This window comes from Homo sapiens, chromosome 4 (assembly GCF_000001405.40).
Source record: "Homo sapiens chromosome 4, GRCh38.p14 Primary Assembly".
Classification (NCBI taxonomy): domain Eukaryota; kingdom Metazoa; phylum Chordata; class Mammalia; order Primates; family Hominidae; genus Homo; species Homo sapiens.
The window spans coordinates 6,197,992-6,211,756 of NC_000004.12; the positions used below are offsets into that span (position 1 = coordinate 6,197,992).

At 52.0% G+C, this 13,765-nt stretch overlaps 1 protein-coding gene and 1 long non-coding RNA gene across 3 annotated transcripts in view, besides 8 other annotated features; one reads left to right on the forward strand and one right to left on the reverse strand.

Annotated features, from left to right (window-relative positions):
• JAKMIP1 (janus kinase and microtubule interacting protein 1) overlaps nucleotides 1–2,558 on the reverse strand; it is a 174,351-nt gene extending 171,793 nt beyond the window's left edge. For both annotated transcript variants that reach the window (NM_001099433.2, NM_144720.4), the window contains exon 1: nucleotides 2,262–2,558. The gene's annotated coding sequence lies outside the window, so the exon portion shown is untranslated. The remainder of the gene's footprint in view (nucleotides 1–2,261) is intronic.
• Nucleotides 364–523: an enhancer, noted in NCBI's record as "active region_21253". NCBI's record gives its function as "activates an Ori minimal core promoter by ATAC-STARR-seq in GM12878 lymphoblastoid cells {active_cell/tissue: GM12878}" and the evidence as "EXISTENCE:reporter gene assay evidence [ECO:0000049][PMID:35858748]".
• Nucleotides 644–693: an enhancer, noted in NCBI's record as "active region_21254". NCBI's record gives its function as "activates an Ori minimal core promoter by ATAC-STARR-seq in GM12878 lymphoblastoid cells {active_cell/tissue: GM12878}" and the evidence as "EXISTENCE:reporter gene assay evidence [ECO:0000049][PMID:35858748]".
• Nucleotides 714–823: an enhancer, noted in NCBI's record as "active region_21255". NCBI's record gives its function as "activates an Ori minimal core promoter by ATAC-STARR-seq in GM12878 lymphoblastoid cells {active_cell/tissue: GM12878}" and the evidence as "EXISTENCE:reporter gene assay evidence [ECO:0000049][PMID:35858748]".
• Nucleotides 1,034–1,123: an enhancer, noted in NCBI's record as "active region_21256". NCBI's record gives its function as "activates an Ori minimal core promoter by ATAC-STARR-seq in GM12878 lymphoblastoid cells {active_cell/tissue: GM12878}" and the evidence as "EXISTENCE:reporter gene assay evidence [ECO:0000049][PMID:35858748]".
• Nucleotides 1,594–1,943: a silencer, noted in NCBI's record as "silent region_15226". NCBI's record gives its function as "represses an Ori minimal core promoter by ATAC-STARR-seq in GM12878 lymphoblastoid cells {active_cell/tissue: GM12878}" and the evidence as "EXISTENCE:reporter gene assay evidence [ECO:0000049][PMID:35858748]".
• Nucleotides 2,214–2,973: a silencer, noted in NCBI's record as "silent region_15227". NCBI's record gives its function as "represses an Ori minimal core promoter by ATAC-STARR-seq in GM12878 lymphoblastoid cells {active_cell/tissue: GM12878}" and the evidence as "EXISTENCE:reporter gene assay evidence [ECO:0000049][PMID:35858748]".
• JAKMIP1-DT (JAKMIP1 divergent transcript) overlaps nucleotides 2,742–13,765 on the forward strand; it is a 33,204-nt gene continuing 22,180 nt past the window's right edge. Inside the window, exon 1 of the long non-coding RNA NR_037863.1 lies at nucleotides 2,742–2,948. This is a non-coding gene — a long non-coding RNA (JAKMIP1 divergent transcript). The remainder of the gene's footprint in view (nucleotides 2,949–13,765) is intronic.
• Nucleotides 4,076–4,125: an enhancer, noted in NCBI's record as "active region_21257". NCBI's record gives its function as "activates an Ori minimal core promoter by ATAC-STARR-seq in GM12878 lymphoblastoid cells {active_cell/tissue: GM12878}" and the evidence as "EXISTENCE:reporter gene assay evidence [ECO:0000049][PMID:35858748]".
• Nucleotides 7,876–7,945: an enhancer, noted in NCBI's record as "active region_21258". NCBI's record gives its function as "activates an Ori minimal core promoter by ATAC-STARR-seq in GM12878 lymphoblastoid cells {active_cell/tissue: GM12878}" and the evidence as "EXISTENCE:reporter gene assay evidence [ECO:0000049][PMID:35858748]".

Sequence of the window (13,765 nt, forward strand, 5' to 3'; positions counted from 1 at the left end):
CTGCACATGACTCTCTGACAGCACGGGCAGTGTCTGTGTGGTCACCTCCCCAGGAAAACAGAGCCCCCACCAAAGTGGGACCATCTCTCAGGCCACCTCACTGTGTCCCGTGTCCCCAGTCTCTAGTGGGCAAGATCTGCTTAAGGAAAAACTACACAAACAAATATCACACTGTATGTGTATAAAAAGTTCTGAGAACACAAATGAGAGAAGCACACAATCTTTCCGGCAGAGTCTGGGAAAATCACACTGATGGAACCTGAGAGCTGGGCTTAATCATGAATCGTTCTCCACATACTCAAGGGAGGGGAGCATTGTTTTAGACGGGGGGAAAAAGAAGCATGTGGGGGAAAAACCCAAGTGTGAAGACATGTCTACGCAACACAGAGGCAGCAGGCGTGGCTGAGACATTGTGGCAGGGAGAGGGGAGAGATGGGCTGGGGAAGCCAGGATGTGAGGAACTGGTGAGGTCGTGGGGGCGGTGGGAGTCATGGGTGGTTTGTGAAGGAGGAAAATGCCAGTCATCTCATGCATTGGGTCCACACTGTGAGCCTTTGGGAGCTGCTTACTGCAAAAAGACTACAGATAAGAATTACCCCAGACTCCAGAGCAGAGATGTTCAGCATTACAGACCGGTACACACCTCAACAGCAACAAAAATCTTGCAACAAGCCACAAGCCTCCACTGTGCGCTACAACATCAGTCTCTGCAGAGCTGCAGGTCTCCAGGAGGGTGGAAATGCCCTGCTAGGAAAGGATTCTAATTCCCCCACTCTATCCCCGAATGTGTCCCTCCTCCTTGCCCATCCCAGCTAGTGGAGCCACCACCCACCAGCCCAGGGTGCTACAGGAAGGGCCAGCTCCTCCCATGGCCTCGCCCTCCACACCAGCGGGTTACTCTGACTTAGGGGGGATGGCCCTGCTATGCCCAACATTCACTGTGGGTGGAGCCCTGGGAGAGGGGCTGAGGCTGCCCCTGCCCTCCTCCCCACCTCCTCCTCTGCTCTGGAAGGCAGAGGCCATCAGATGGTAACAGCATCCTGGGACAGCGCCACGTTCCAGGAAAGCTCAGGAGGGGCAAGGGGATCTCCCTGACTACAAGGAGCTGGCCAGCTGAAGTTAGGGCGTTCGCGGAGAGAGCACAGCACTGGCAAAGGCCAAGGACAGTGTGCCTGCGAGTGTGCGCAGATGGGGCGGGCGGCGGAGGAGGGCTGGCGGTTAGATACAGTATCGCTGGAGCTCAGAGAGCCGGGCAGAGGCTGGCGGAGAGCCGAGGCTGGCCCAGCCTTCAGGAGACCGGCGAGCTGGGGTGTGTGGGAGCGGGATGCTTCTAAGGCGAAAAGAAGCGCCAGCCTCGTAAGCGGCCTCTATCTGGGCTGCCCAGGCCGGATGCTCAGGAGCCCACAGCAGGGGGGATGGAGCGAAGGACCGAGGGGCTGGGAGGCGAGGCCGCAGCGCACTGACGCAGGCCAGCGAGGCCGCTGGCCCCGACGCAGGGCGCCCGGCAAGGTGTCTGGCACCACGAGAGTCAATCCTTGCGCGCCATCTCCGGAGGCCAGTGCGCCCAGGGCGCGCCGGCCCGGCAGGAGGGTGGGTGCCAGCCTTTCTTCCCATCTCTCGAGCCTCCTCCCCGGCGCCCACGTGGGCGGAGCAGCGCGAGGGTGTGCGTGGCAGGGGCCGCGGCGGCGTGTGCCGTGCGTGGGGTGGGGTGCGGGCTGGGCGGCCTCGCCTTCGGGCCCCGCGCCGCCGGGGCGCGGCCCCCAGCTCCATCTTCTTTGCCACCTGGGCGGAGATCTGGGGGACTGTGACCTACCCTGCGGAAGACACGGAGGGGACGGGCCGGCCACACCCCCCGCGCCACTCCGGCAGGCACCGGGTGGGTCCCCCTCCCGCTCCTTGGCTTGAGGGCGGAATCCGGAGAAGAGTGGAAATAGGGGTGGCGTGAAGGAGAGCTGGGGGCTGGGGGCGGGACCGGGAGGGGGTGTTGGGGGAAGCGACGCAGCGGCTGGGAGATTTTGCAAGGGGGTCTGAAGAGGAGTGGGGGATGGGTATGGAAGGGTGGGGGACCACTGAGGTGGGATGCGAGAGTGGAAGGGGGACCCAGAGGGGGCGCGATGGCCGGAGGAGGGGGAGATGGACGATGGGGCGGGGCGGCACCGGTCGCCGCGTCCCTTGCCGCCAGGTCCGCCCCTCGGTCGCCGGGTCCACGGGTTCCCTCTGGCCAGCGCTCGCCTCCCGCCCCCCGGCGCACCTGTACCCACCTGCTCGGCGCTCAGGCCCGAGCCGGGCAGCAGCAGCGGACGTAGCGAGCGCAGCCCCGCGCCGCATCCTCCGGCCGCCCCCTCCCCGCTGCGAGCTTACGCCGCTGTCGCCGCCGCCACCGCCTTAAAAAGGACAAAACGGAACAGAAAATGAATGCATGCACAAAAAAAATCGTAAAAAGCAATTGAGGAGGATGGCAGTCGCGCGCGCGGCTCGGCGGGGCGGGAGTCGAGAGGCCGCGGCACTGGTGGCCGCGATCCGGGCAGGCGGCCGGCGCGTGCCGCACGCGGGTGGCTGCAGCTCCCTCGGTCGCCCGCGCCCGGCTCAGGCACGGCACCGCCCCTCCCCCCGGGGAGCCCCTCCGATTGGTCTGTCTTCCTGCCAGTCAGGCAGGAGGGCGCGGCGCCCGCCCCGCCCCGCCCCCGCCCCCGCCCCGGGCAGATGCCGGGAGCTCTCCTGCCGCCGTGGGAGGGGGAGCTGAGCTGCCGGAGCGTGCGCACTGGGCCAGCGGGCGGCCGGGGCAGGGCTGGGGTCCCGGCGCTGAGCGCCCCCAGCCGCGCCGGGCAGCCTGGCGCCTCGCTGAGTCGGAGCAACCCCCGGCAGGAGCTTTCAGGCTCTGGTCAAGCCTCGGGACCCGGGAAGCTATCCCTGCCCTCGGGGGCTCGAGCCTGGAGTGGGGCTTGCAGGTAAAGCGGGGCTGGGGCCGTCCTGGCCGTCAGTGGTCAGGAAGACGCAGCGACCCCGGAGATCCATGTCCCCCTCTGTACGCATGAGAGGTCTGAAGGTCAGAGGTTAAAGCGCACGCTAACGGCGGCAGAGCCAGCAAGCGGCAGAGCTGGGCGGATGCCAGCCTAGGGAGCCTCCCCCCACCAGCCCAGGCTGCCCCCAGCAAAGCCACATCAGCAGGTCATAGCCAAATGAAAGATGTGCTGTCGAGCTGAGACTTGGGAGGGGCAGGACTCAGCTGGGCAAACATTCATTCAGTGTCATTAGACAAATATTTATTGAGCACTTGCTGTGTGCCAGGTAGTCACTAAGATGTGGGGACACCACAGTGAACAGCAGAGAGGAAGCGGCTGCCCACCAGAGCTTACTTTCTAGCAAGGAGAAGGCAGGGAAGAGCACCCACCAAAGGGAGCAGCATGGGGGAACACCCTGACTGCTGTGAACGGGACATATTTGAGAATCTGATAAAAGTATCTGGGCCACAGAATGGTGAGAGGGAGTGTGTGGAAGATGGGGGGCGGGGGCACAGAGGGGCAGCACTTGCAAGGTCTTGCAGGCTGGCGAGAGTTTGGAGACTGTCTCACCTGGAAGGTGGTCCCATGGACCATTGTCAGATTGATATTTTTTAAAGTGCATCAGTCAGGATAAGCTATGTTAGCCACAGTAACAACCAAACCCAAATCTCCCTGGTGTGTCTTGCCCACATCATACATCCTGCCTCGGTCAATGGGGCTCTGTTCATCAGAGTGGTTGGGAGCCCAAGCTGCTGGGGCTGTCTGCCAGCCGAGCACCCACATGGTGCAGCAATGTGAATGAAAGGTGACAATTATGCTGGCTTTGAAGGCTTCCTCCCCGAAGGGACTCTCGTCACTTCTGCTCACGTTTCATTGGCCAGAGCAGGTCACATGGCCATGCCTAACTTCAGAAGAGGAGGAAGTGCAGACCTCTAAGGTTCAGGGGGTCAGGAGGAACTAGGATATCTGTGAGCAGATGTGAGACTATCTTTAGCAGATGCCCTGGCTGCCCTTGGGGCATGGGCTGAAGTAGTCAAGAGTGGGGACAAGGAGGCAGTGTGGGGGCCTCCTCCACGCTGATACAGTGAAGTATCAGCGCATCAGAGCAATCTGGGTGCAGAATTGGCAGGACATGCTCACGGCTTGGACGTGGACAGGAGGGAGGGAGGGACAATCAGGGACAATGCCCAGGTATCCTGGGATGAATTGTGTTCCCCCCACCCACCCCCTCAAAAAAAAAAACTCGTATGTTGAAGTGCTCACTCCCAGGACCTCAGAATATGACCTTACTTGGAAATAGGGTCGTTGTAGATGTAATTAGCTAAGATGAGGTCACAATGGAGTAGGTTGGATTCCTAATCCAGTCTGCCTTCTATCCTTATAAAAGGGGGAAATTGGATACAGAGACACAAGCAACGGGAGCATGCCGTGTGAACATGAAGGTAGAGATCAGGTCGAGGCATCAGCTAGCCAAGGAAATGCCAAAGATGGGAGCAAACCCCCGGAAGCCATGAGAGCGGCCTGGGACAGATCCTTCCCCAGGGCTTCATAGGGAGCGTGGACCAGCTGACACCTGATTTCAGACTTCTAGCTTACAGAAGTGAGACAGTGCATTTCTGTTGTTTAAAAAGCCCAGCTGGTGGTACTTCGATACATGTGTGTAGATTAAGGGTTATGTCTGGCTGTGAGTAATCGGGATCACAACTAGACAGCGGCTTAAACAGATTTTTATTCTCTCTTAACAAGAAATGCAAAGGCAAGCTGTTCCTCACTTTATCCTCTCTCACTCCTTCACCCTCAGGATGTAATTTTCTTTTTCAAAATGTCTTCTACGTGGCAAGTTGGCTGCCTCTTCCCAGACATCTCATCACTATTCCAGTCAAGAAGGGGAAGAACAAAAGGCATACCCACACTAGGTCAGCTCCACTTCACCGCTTTCCTGAAAACTCTCCCCAGAGAGCTCTGTTTTATCTCATTGGCTGGGACGGTGTCTCATGGCCAGCCCTGGCTTCAGAGGAGGCTGGGAGTATTGTTATTATTTTTTAAGATGGTGTCTTGCTCTGTTGTCCAGTTTGGAGTGCAATGGCGTGATCTTGGCTCATTGCAACCTCCGCCTCCCGGGTTCAAGTGATTCTCCTGCCTCAGCCTCTCAAGTAGCTGGGATTACAGGCCCACACCACCACACCCAGCTAATTTTTGTATTTTTAGTAGAGATGGAGTTTTGCCATGTTGGCCAAGCTGGTCTCAAACTGCAGACCTCAGGTGATCCACCCACCTTGGCCTCCCAAAATGCTGGAATTACAGGTGTGAGCCACCACGCCCGGCCAAGGATGTTTTTTTTTAATTGAAGGTACATTGCTGCCTGAAACAAAGTCAGGGTTCCATTAGTGAGGAAAAGAAGAAGAATGACTTTTGAACAGGCAACTATTGGTTAGTAGATCCAGGTTTTGTAAAACCTGGAGCCGCTACAGTCCCCCTTAGGAAGAAGAATTTAAAAACCCCAGTACAAGACTTGGTACAAAAATGAAAACTTATTTAGAATAATAACAAATCACAACAAATTTTAAAATATTTTAAGTTGACAAATATCAAAAACGTTGCGAAAACATTATAAAACTAATATAAAATTGTATTAATTGGATACCTGATATCCACCTTTATAATATCTTCTTTTTTTTACATTTTTTGCTTCTTCGTCATTTTTGATTACCTCTTTGGAAGCCAATGATTTTATAATATTTTTCCTGTGGAGAAAATAGATAATTCAGAGTACTCCTATAATGATGGGAACAAATTTTAATGTTGGTTGGAAAACTTTGTCAGCCTCATAACTCATTATTGGTAATCTCAGGTAGTTTTTTGAGATTGTTTTCAAATTTGGAGAAAGGTCTATCATTCTTTCATAAATGAATGCTAACACTTGGAAGAATTCTATTTCTTCCAGGCTTCTTACTGGGATTTTATTAATTTTCATGATGAAAAGCAACTGAACAATTGCAAACCAGAACATGACTCGACTAACACCTCCTAAACCTCAGTGCTGGCGCCCATCACCTGGAGAGGCATAGGAGAAATGCAGATGCCCAGGCTCCTCCACATCCCACTGAATTGAAGCCTCAGAGTAGCAGGGTCTAGGAATCAGCATTTTACTAAATGCCCCAGGTGACTCCTGCTGAGCAGTCCTGGGCTATGCGACACCCCCAGTTGCCTTGTGACTCTGAGGGTCTGCAAATCCAGACCTCTCCTATTGGAAGAATGACATTTTCAACCCTTATGTCTCTTCCTCTGCCCATAGACTCCTGGTGCCAGGCACCATAGCACACATTGCCAGTGCCATGGCAAGGAGGGCACTCCTGGGAGCCATTAGCCTGTTCAGGGAGCAACAACTCGACCCACACAGACTGGCTCAGACCTACATAAACACACCCCACTAAACCCAAACCAAGGCATCCCCAACTCAATCCCCCTTCAGCTACATCCCCAAAATGCCCTTGGCCTCCGCAGCAGCTCCGAAGTGGGAGGAAGCATGATGAGGGCGGCATAGGGAAAGAGACAGAGGGTATTATGGGTTGGATTGTGTCCTCCAGAACTTGAGTGCTGAAGCCCTAACCCCCAGGAGCTCAGAATGTGACTGTATTTGGTGATAGGACCTTTAAAGAGGTCACTGAGCTTAAATGAGGTCTTTAGGGTGGGACCTAATGCAATATGCCTGGTGTCCTTATAAGAAGAGATTAAGACACAGAAGGAAGCCCCTGTGGAGACACAGTGAGAAGATGGCCATCTGCAAGCCAAGGAGAGGGGACTTGGAGGAAACCAACACCTTGGTCTCAGACTTGAAGCCTCCTGAACTGTGAAAAATAAGTTTCTGTTGTTAAAGCTCTTCAGTCTGTGGAACCCTGTCTTGGAAACCCTGGCAGCCAGCTTAGCCAGTTACAGCTAAAATATCTTGCTTTTGGAAAGTATTTCCAAACACAAGGCCACATGAACCCAGAGCTCTGGCTCTCCCAGGCCTTGGAAGGGTCTGTACTTAGCTTCACAAGGAATTCACCCCCGCTGCCACCACGTGGTCACTACATAACCCTCAGGACGACCTATGGGGCAGGGGGTCAGGTACCACCAAGATCTCCCTATTAGGGACGAGAGGTTGGGGCCCAGGGGCTCACTCACAGCAAGCAGCATGGAAGCCACGAGTCTTCCGAAGCCAAAGCTGCTTTCCCCGCCCCGTGTGCCCTGAGCCCACAAGTGGTAGGGAGGAAGTGCCCTGAGCCCTGGAAGTGGTAGAGAGGCAGGTTTCAGCTCCCTATAAAGACAAACATTCTCATCAGAGGGGCTCCTCTCTGGGAAGCTGTGAGCACCCAACACCTGTGATGGGCTGGTCACTTGCAAAGATGGTGGAAAGAAACTTCAGTTCCTGCTGCTCTTGCAGAGTAGAGTGTGGTCACCACCACCACTGCAGGGCTGGGCTGCTGGGATTAAATTCCAGCTGTGTCAGGTACCCATGGTGACCTTAGGCAAGTAAGTGAACCTTTAGTTTCCTTATCTGTAAGATTAATCTTTTAATCATAATAACTGCATAGGTTTGGGTGGGGATTCAGTGAGTGAATATATGTGACTCTGGGTTTGTTTCCTGGGCTGCCCTAATACAGTATCACAGACTGGGAGGCCTGAAACAACAGACATTTATTTTCTCACAGTTATGCCTGGCCAGAGTCCACAGTCAGGGTGTTGGCAGGGCTGTGCTTCCCCTAGAGGCTCTAGGAGAGGATCCTTCTTGGCCTCTTCCAGCTCCCGGTGGCTCCAGGACTTCCTTGGCTTGCGGCCGCATCACTCCAGTCTCTGCCTCTGTATTACACGGCTTCCTCCTCTTTGTGTGAGTGTCTTTTATAAGGATGTCATTGGATGGAGGACTCACCCAGATAACCCAGGAGGATCTCTTCTCAAGCTCCCTAACTTAATCATACCTGCAAAGACTCTTTTTCCAAATGAGTTCCCATATCACAGTTTCCAGGATGTGGACATACCTTTAGTTATTATGAATTATATGGTTATTTATCTACAGCTGTGATAATTCTAAAGGAGGAAGAGAAGTTGGTAGGAGACCATGTAACATGGAGATTGGCTTGGTCTGAGGGGCAGAGTCTTCCTTGAGGTGGTTAGCTTGAGTATTAGCTAGCTAGAAGAAGAGGAACAGAAACAATGTCCCAGGGCCAGTGAACAGCAGCATGAAGGCCCAGAGTTAGGATTTGACCTTCCACTTGAAAGGGAGCCACTGGGGGCTCTTGGGGCAGGGCGAGAGTGGCAGGATTAAAGGAGGCCTGTGAGCACGTGTGGAAGAGCAGCCTGACCTCACCAGCCCCGTGGAAGATCCCACCAAGACCGGTGCACATCTACTGTGCTGGCACTCTGCCTAGGCACCAGGAACACAGCAGGGAAACAGCTGTTTGTGCCCCCAAGGGCTCATGGGCCAGTGGGAGAGACAGAAGAGTACCTGGATCATTCTGATGGGGTAGCCCTGGGCTATAAAAGTGCAGAGGAAGGGGCCAGGTGCAGTGTCGCATGTCTATAATCCTAGTGCTTTGGGAGGCTGAGGCAGAAGGATCCCTTCAAACCAGGAGTTCAAGCCAGCCTGGGCAGCATAGCAAGACCTTGTCTCTACAAAAAAAAAAAAAAATTACAATTAATTAGCCAGATGTGGTGGTAAGTGCCTGTACTCTTAGCTATTTGGAAGGAGGTTGAGGTGGGAAATTCACTTGAGGCCAGGCCAGGAGTTCAACGCTGCAGTGAGTTAGGATCATGCGACTGTACTCCAATATGGGCAACAGAGTGAGACCGTGGCAAAAAAAAAAAAAAAAAAAATTGCAGAATAAGGACTGCTTAGGGAGTCCAGAGAGGCTTCCTAGAGGAGAAAACCCTTGAGCTGAGGTCAGACAATGAGAGCAGAAGCCATGCAGAGGGACCAGCATGTGCAAAGGGCTGGAAGCACGAGGACCATGCCATGAATTTCCCACCTGCGTCCCCGAGAGGGCAGACAAGGTTGGAGAGTCTGGCAAAGTCAGATCATGGGCAGCCCTGAAGGCCACACTGGAACATCTGCTGATGTGTGAATTTTGAACAGGGCACTGCACACTGAAGCTGGTGCAGCCTTTGCATGGAGGCTGATGGGAAGGTGGACACTAGAGGCTTTTGAACTGATCCAGATGAGGGAGGTCAAGGGCCAGAGCCAGGGCAGTTTGAGCCACAGTCCCAGAAGGACAGGCCAGGACTCTTTAAGTGGCGTTACTCTCCCCTCCACTGGGTGGTTGAAACTGATCCCCCTTGTAAGTCCTGCCTTCTGGGCAGTGGGCTGTGCTTCCAGGGCAAGAGGGAGGATGGCAATGATACTGAGAGCAAACATGGCCAAGCTTGAGCTGCAGCAGGCACTGATTTAAATACTTTCCAAGTTCATTGTGGGTTTTTCGTTTGTGTTGTTATTTGTTTGTTTGAGACAGGGTCTCTGTCACCCTGGCTGGAGTGCAGTGGCAGGATCACAGCTCACTGCAGCCTCAACTTCCCGGGCTCAGGTGATTCTCCCACCTCAGCCTCCCAAGTAGCTGGGACTACAGGTGTGCGCCGCTACACCTGGCTAATTTTTTGTAGAGACAGGGTTTCGCCATGCTGCCCTAGCTGGTCTCAAACTCCTGGGCTCAAATGATCTGCCCACCTCAGTCTCCCAAAGTGTTGGGATTACAGATGTGAGCCACTCTGGCTGGCCTCCAAGTCTTAGTCCTCACAACAGCCCTAGTTGGAGAGCTTGCTCAAGATCACACAACCAGTAGAGCCAGGGCTAGAGCCCAGACAGCCTGGCTCCAGGGGTAAATAAAAACTCATATTGTTAATAGCAATAACGTTGACTGAGCACATGCTGTGTGCCAGGTACTGGGCTGAGGTCCATATATATTAACTCATTTTAATCCCCACCCTACCCTTAGAAATTGAGGGATGTAGGTCGGGCATGGTGGCTCATGCCAGTAATCCCAGCATTCTGGGAGGCCAAGGCAAGTGGATCACCTGAGGTCAGGAGTCCAAGACCAGCCTGGCCAACATGGTGAAACCCTGTCTCTACTAAAAATACAAAAATTAGCCGGGGGTGATGGCGCGTGCCTGTAGTCCCAGCTACACGGGAGTCTGAGGTGGGAGAATCGCTTGAACCCTGGAGGTAGAGGCTGCAGTGAGCCGAGATCGTGCCATTGCACTCTAGCCTGGGGGACAGAGCAAGACTGTCTCAAATAAAAGAAAGAAAAAAAGAAATTGAGGGATGTGAAGGTTCAATAACTTGCCAAAGTTTACCCAGCCGGAAAGTGGTAGAGCCAGGATTCACACCAGTCAGCCCAGCTCGCAATATCTACTCCCCTCCTTTCATCTCCTATGCAGGAGGGACCCACTTCTGTGCTTCCGGGAAAGCTCCAGGCAAGCCCCTGAGGCAGAGGGACCCAGAAAAGCCAGGGCTAGGGGAGGAATAGGGAGTACCAGGCTTTGTTGTTGGCTCAGCATAAATTAGCTGTGTCCCTAGGACGAGTTCCTTCACCTCTCTGAGCCTCAGACTTCTCTCTGTCAAATAGAGATGGTGCCACACCCCACGCCTGCCAGGAAGTCTGGGACTGGAATCCTGCTTCCACCGCTCACTCCCTGCATCACCTGGAGCCCCCGCTCCCTCATCTGAGCACTGAAAGGAACAGAACCTACTTCATAGGCTACTTAGGCTGTTTCAGAAGATGACACTCATGGCGCACCTAAAACAGAGTTTGGCACATCCAATGTGCTCAGTTGGTGAACACTGCCAGCCTTCATGGCAGAGAATCTTCCCTCCTTCCATCCCTGCGCTAGTTCCATGTTCCAGAGGAGATAGAGGGAGCATAGGTAACTTGGCCATGTTCACTCACACAAAAAGTATCGGAAAACCACACCAAGTTCATATTCTCCATCAGTTCACTTTCAATTCCAAAAAGACAGGGATGAGAATTATGCCGAGTGAAAAAGACAGTATGATTCCATTTATATAACTTTATCAAAATGGCAAAATTATAGAGACAGAAAACAGATCCATGGTTGCCAGGACTTGGGGAAGGGAAGAGAGAAATGGCTGTGGCTATAAAAGCTGAGCCTTCTATAAAAGCTATAAAAGCTGTAGCTGAGGCTTCTTTGTTTAGAGCTGTTCTGTATCTTGACTGCGGTGCTGGGCACACAAACCTACACGTGATAAGAGACATAGCACTAAACATGCACACACAAGTTCATGTTAAACCAGAGATGTCTGAATAAAGGGGGATGGATATGGGATCTCTCTGAATTATTTCTTACAACTGCATGTGAATCTATAACTATCTCAAAAATTTTAAGACAGTGGTGCGCACTGTCCATCTTTTGGTGAACATGAAGGTAGCTGATCCAGGCTTTTGCACGGCATAAGGCTCCTCCCTTGGGCAGGGAGATGGGACCAGGGGCCTGTGGGATTTTCCTCCAGGAACAGGGTGGGTCTGGCCAAGGTGACTGTCACCTGTAATCCCAACATTTTGGGAGGCCGAGGTGGGTGGATCACCTGAAGTCAGGAGTTTGAGACCAGCCTGGCCAACATGGCAAAAGCCCATCTCTACTAAAAAAAAAAAAAAAAAAAAAAAATTAGCTGGGCATGGTGCCACACGCCTATAGTCCCAGCTACTAGGGAAGCTGAGGCAGGAGAATTGCTTGAACCCAGGAGGTGGAGGTTGCAGTGAGCCGAGATCATGCCATTGTACTCCAGCCTGAGTGACAGAGCAAGACTCTGTCTCAAAACAAACAAACAAACAAACAAACAAAAAAACAGTGTGGATCAGCCGTGAGGGCTGTGAGGCAGGCTGAGTCTCCAAGTTCTCCATCACAGACCAGCACAGGGAGAGTCTGGCCAGCGACAGGGTCCCTAGGCCTGGGCATTCTTCTTTCTTTTCTACCTTTCAATGAAAACAGCTTTCTGTGGGCTCTTTCTGTTTCCATGAATAATACATGTCATTGTAAAGAATTCAAACAGTACAGGCAGATATAAAGAAGAAACCAAAGGTCACCTTGAATCTTGCTAGCCAAGGGTAATCCCGCGAACACTCAGGTGACCCTCCCTTCGTGCTTCTGCTCATGAGCAGATACATGTGTGTAATTTTCCAGGAATGCGCTTATTTTATGCATGATGTTTTTATTATGGATACTTCCTCCTCCCCCTCCCATATCATATCCCCCACCAAATAGCTCATGTTAACAACCTAGCTTGTTTTATTTCACATTTTTTATATTTTTCTCCATAAGAATAAATAACTACATTCATATATACATACATACATATGGGGGGTTGGGGGTCATTGTTTTACAAAACGAATTCATGATAATCACATTTTCTGCTTCTCACTTTTCACACTCATCAACACCTCGTGCAAATTCCTGCCAGCATCTGGGGAAATCTCTAGACTGACAGGCTGAGGCCATCCCACAGTTCACAGAGCCTTTTCCTATGGGTTAATGTCCCTTTGTCATTACCAACCGACAGCCATGGGCGCTAAATATTCTTACACAAACCCTCAGATAGCAGGACTACTTTTATTTCTATGGGATGGATTCCCAGGAGTGGAATGGCTGGTTGGAAGGTCTAAACTTTTGTCTGTCTGTTTGTTTGTTTTTTGTTTGTTTGAGACAGAGTCTTGCTCTGTCACCCAGGCTGGAGTGCAATCTCAGCTCACTGCAACCTCCGCCTCGCAGGTTCAGGCGATTCTCATGCCTCGGCCTCCTAAGTACCTGGGATTACAAGCACACACCACCACCCCCAGCTAACTTTTCTATTTTTAGTAGAGATAGGGTTTCGCCATGTTAGCCAGGCTGATCTTGAACTCCTGACCTCAAGTGACCCACCCACCTTGGCCTCCCAAAGTGCTGGGATTACAGGTGTGAGCCACCGTGCCTGGCCAAAAAGGTCTAACCTTTTTAATTTACATTTTTAAATTAGCAAATAATAATTGTCCATATTCAGGAGGTACATAGTGATTTTGTGATACATATAATGTGCAGTGATCAGATCATGGCAATTAGCATAGCCATCATCTCAGATGTTTATCATTTCTTTGTGTTGGGACCATTCAAAATCCTCCTTTTTGAAAAAAATAAAATAAAAATAGGGGCCAGGTGTGGTGGCTCATGCCTGTAATCCCAGCACTTTGGGAGGTCAAGGCAGGTGGATCACCTGAGGTCAGGAGTTCGAGACCAGCCTGGCCAATATGGTGAAACCCAGTCTCTACTAAAAATACAAAAAAAAAAAAAAAAAAAATTAGCCAGGCGTGGTGGCGGGTGCCTATAATCCCAGCTACTTGGGAGACTGAGGCAGGAGAATGGCTTGAACCCGGGAGGCAGAGGTTGCAGTGAGCAAAGATCGCGCCATTACACTCCAGCCTGGGCAACAAGAGCGAAACTTCGTCTCAAAAAAAAAAAAAAAAATAGGCAGATTACCTTCCCAAGACTCTAACACACACCCTTCTGCTTCAATGTATTTCCTGCATTGCCAACCTCAACCCACGCTGCAGCATGTGTAAATGTTGTCACTCTGATGGGTGCAAAGTGATGTGTCCTTGTTATTTTAATTTGCGTTTCTCTGTCCATTGGTGGATTTGAGCACCTGGTTTTATATATATTTATATATATATATATATATATATATATATATATATATATATATATATACACACACACACACACACACACATTATGTATATATT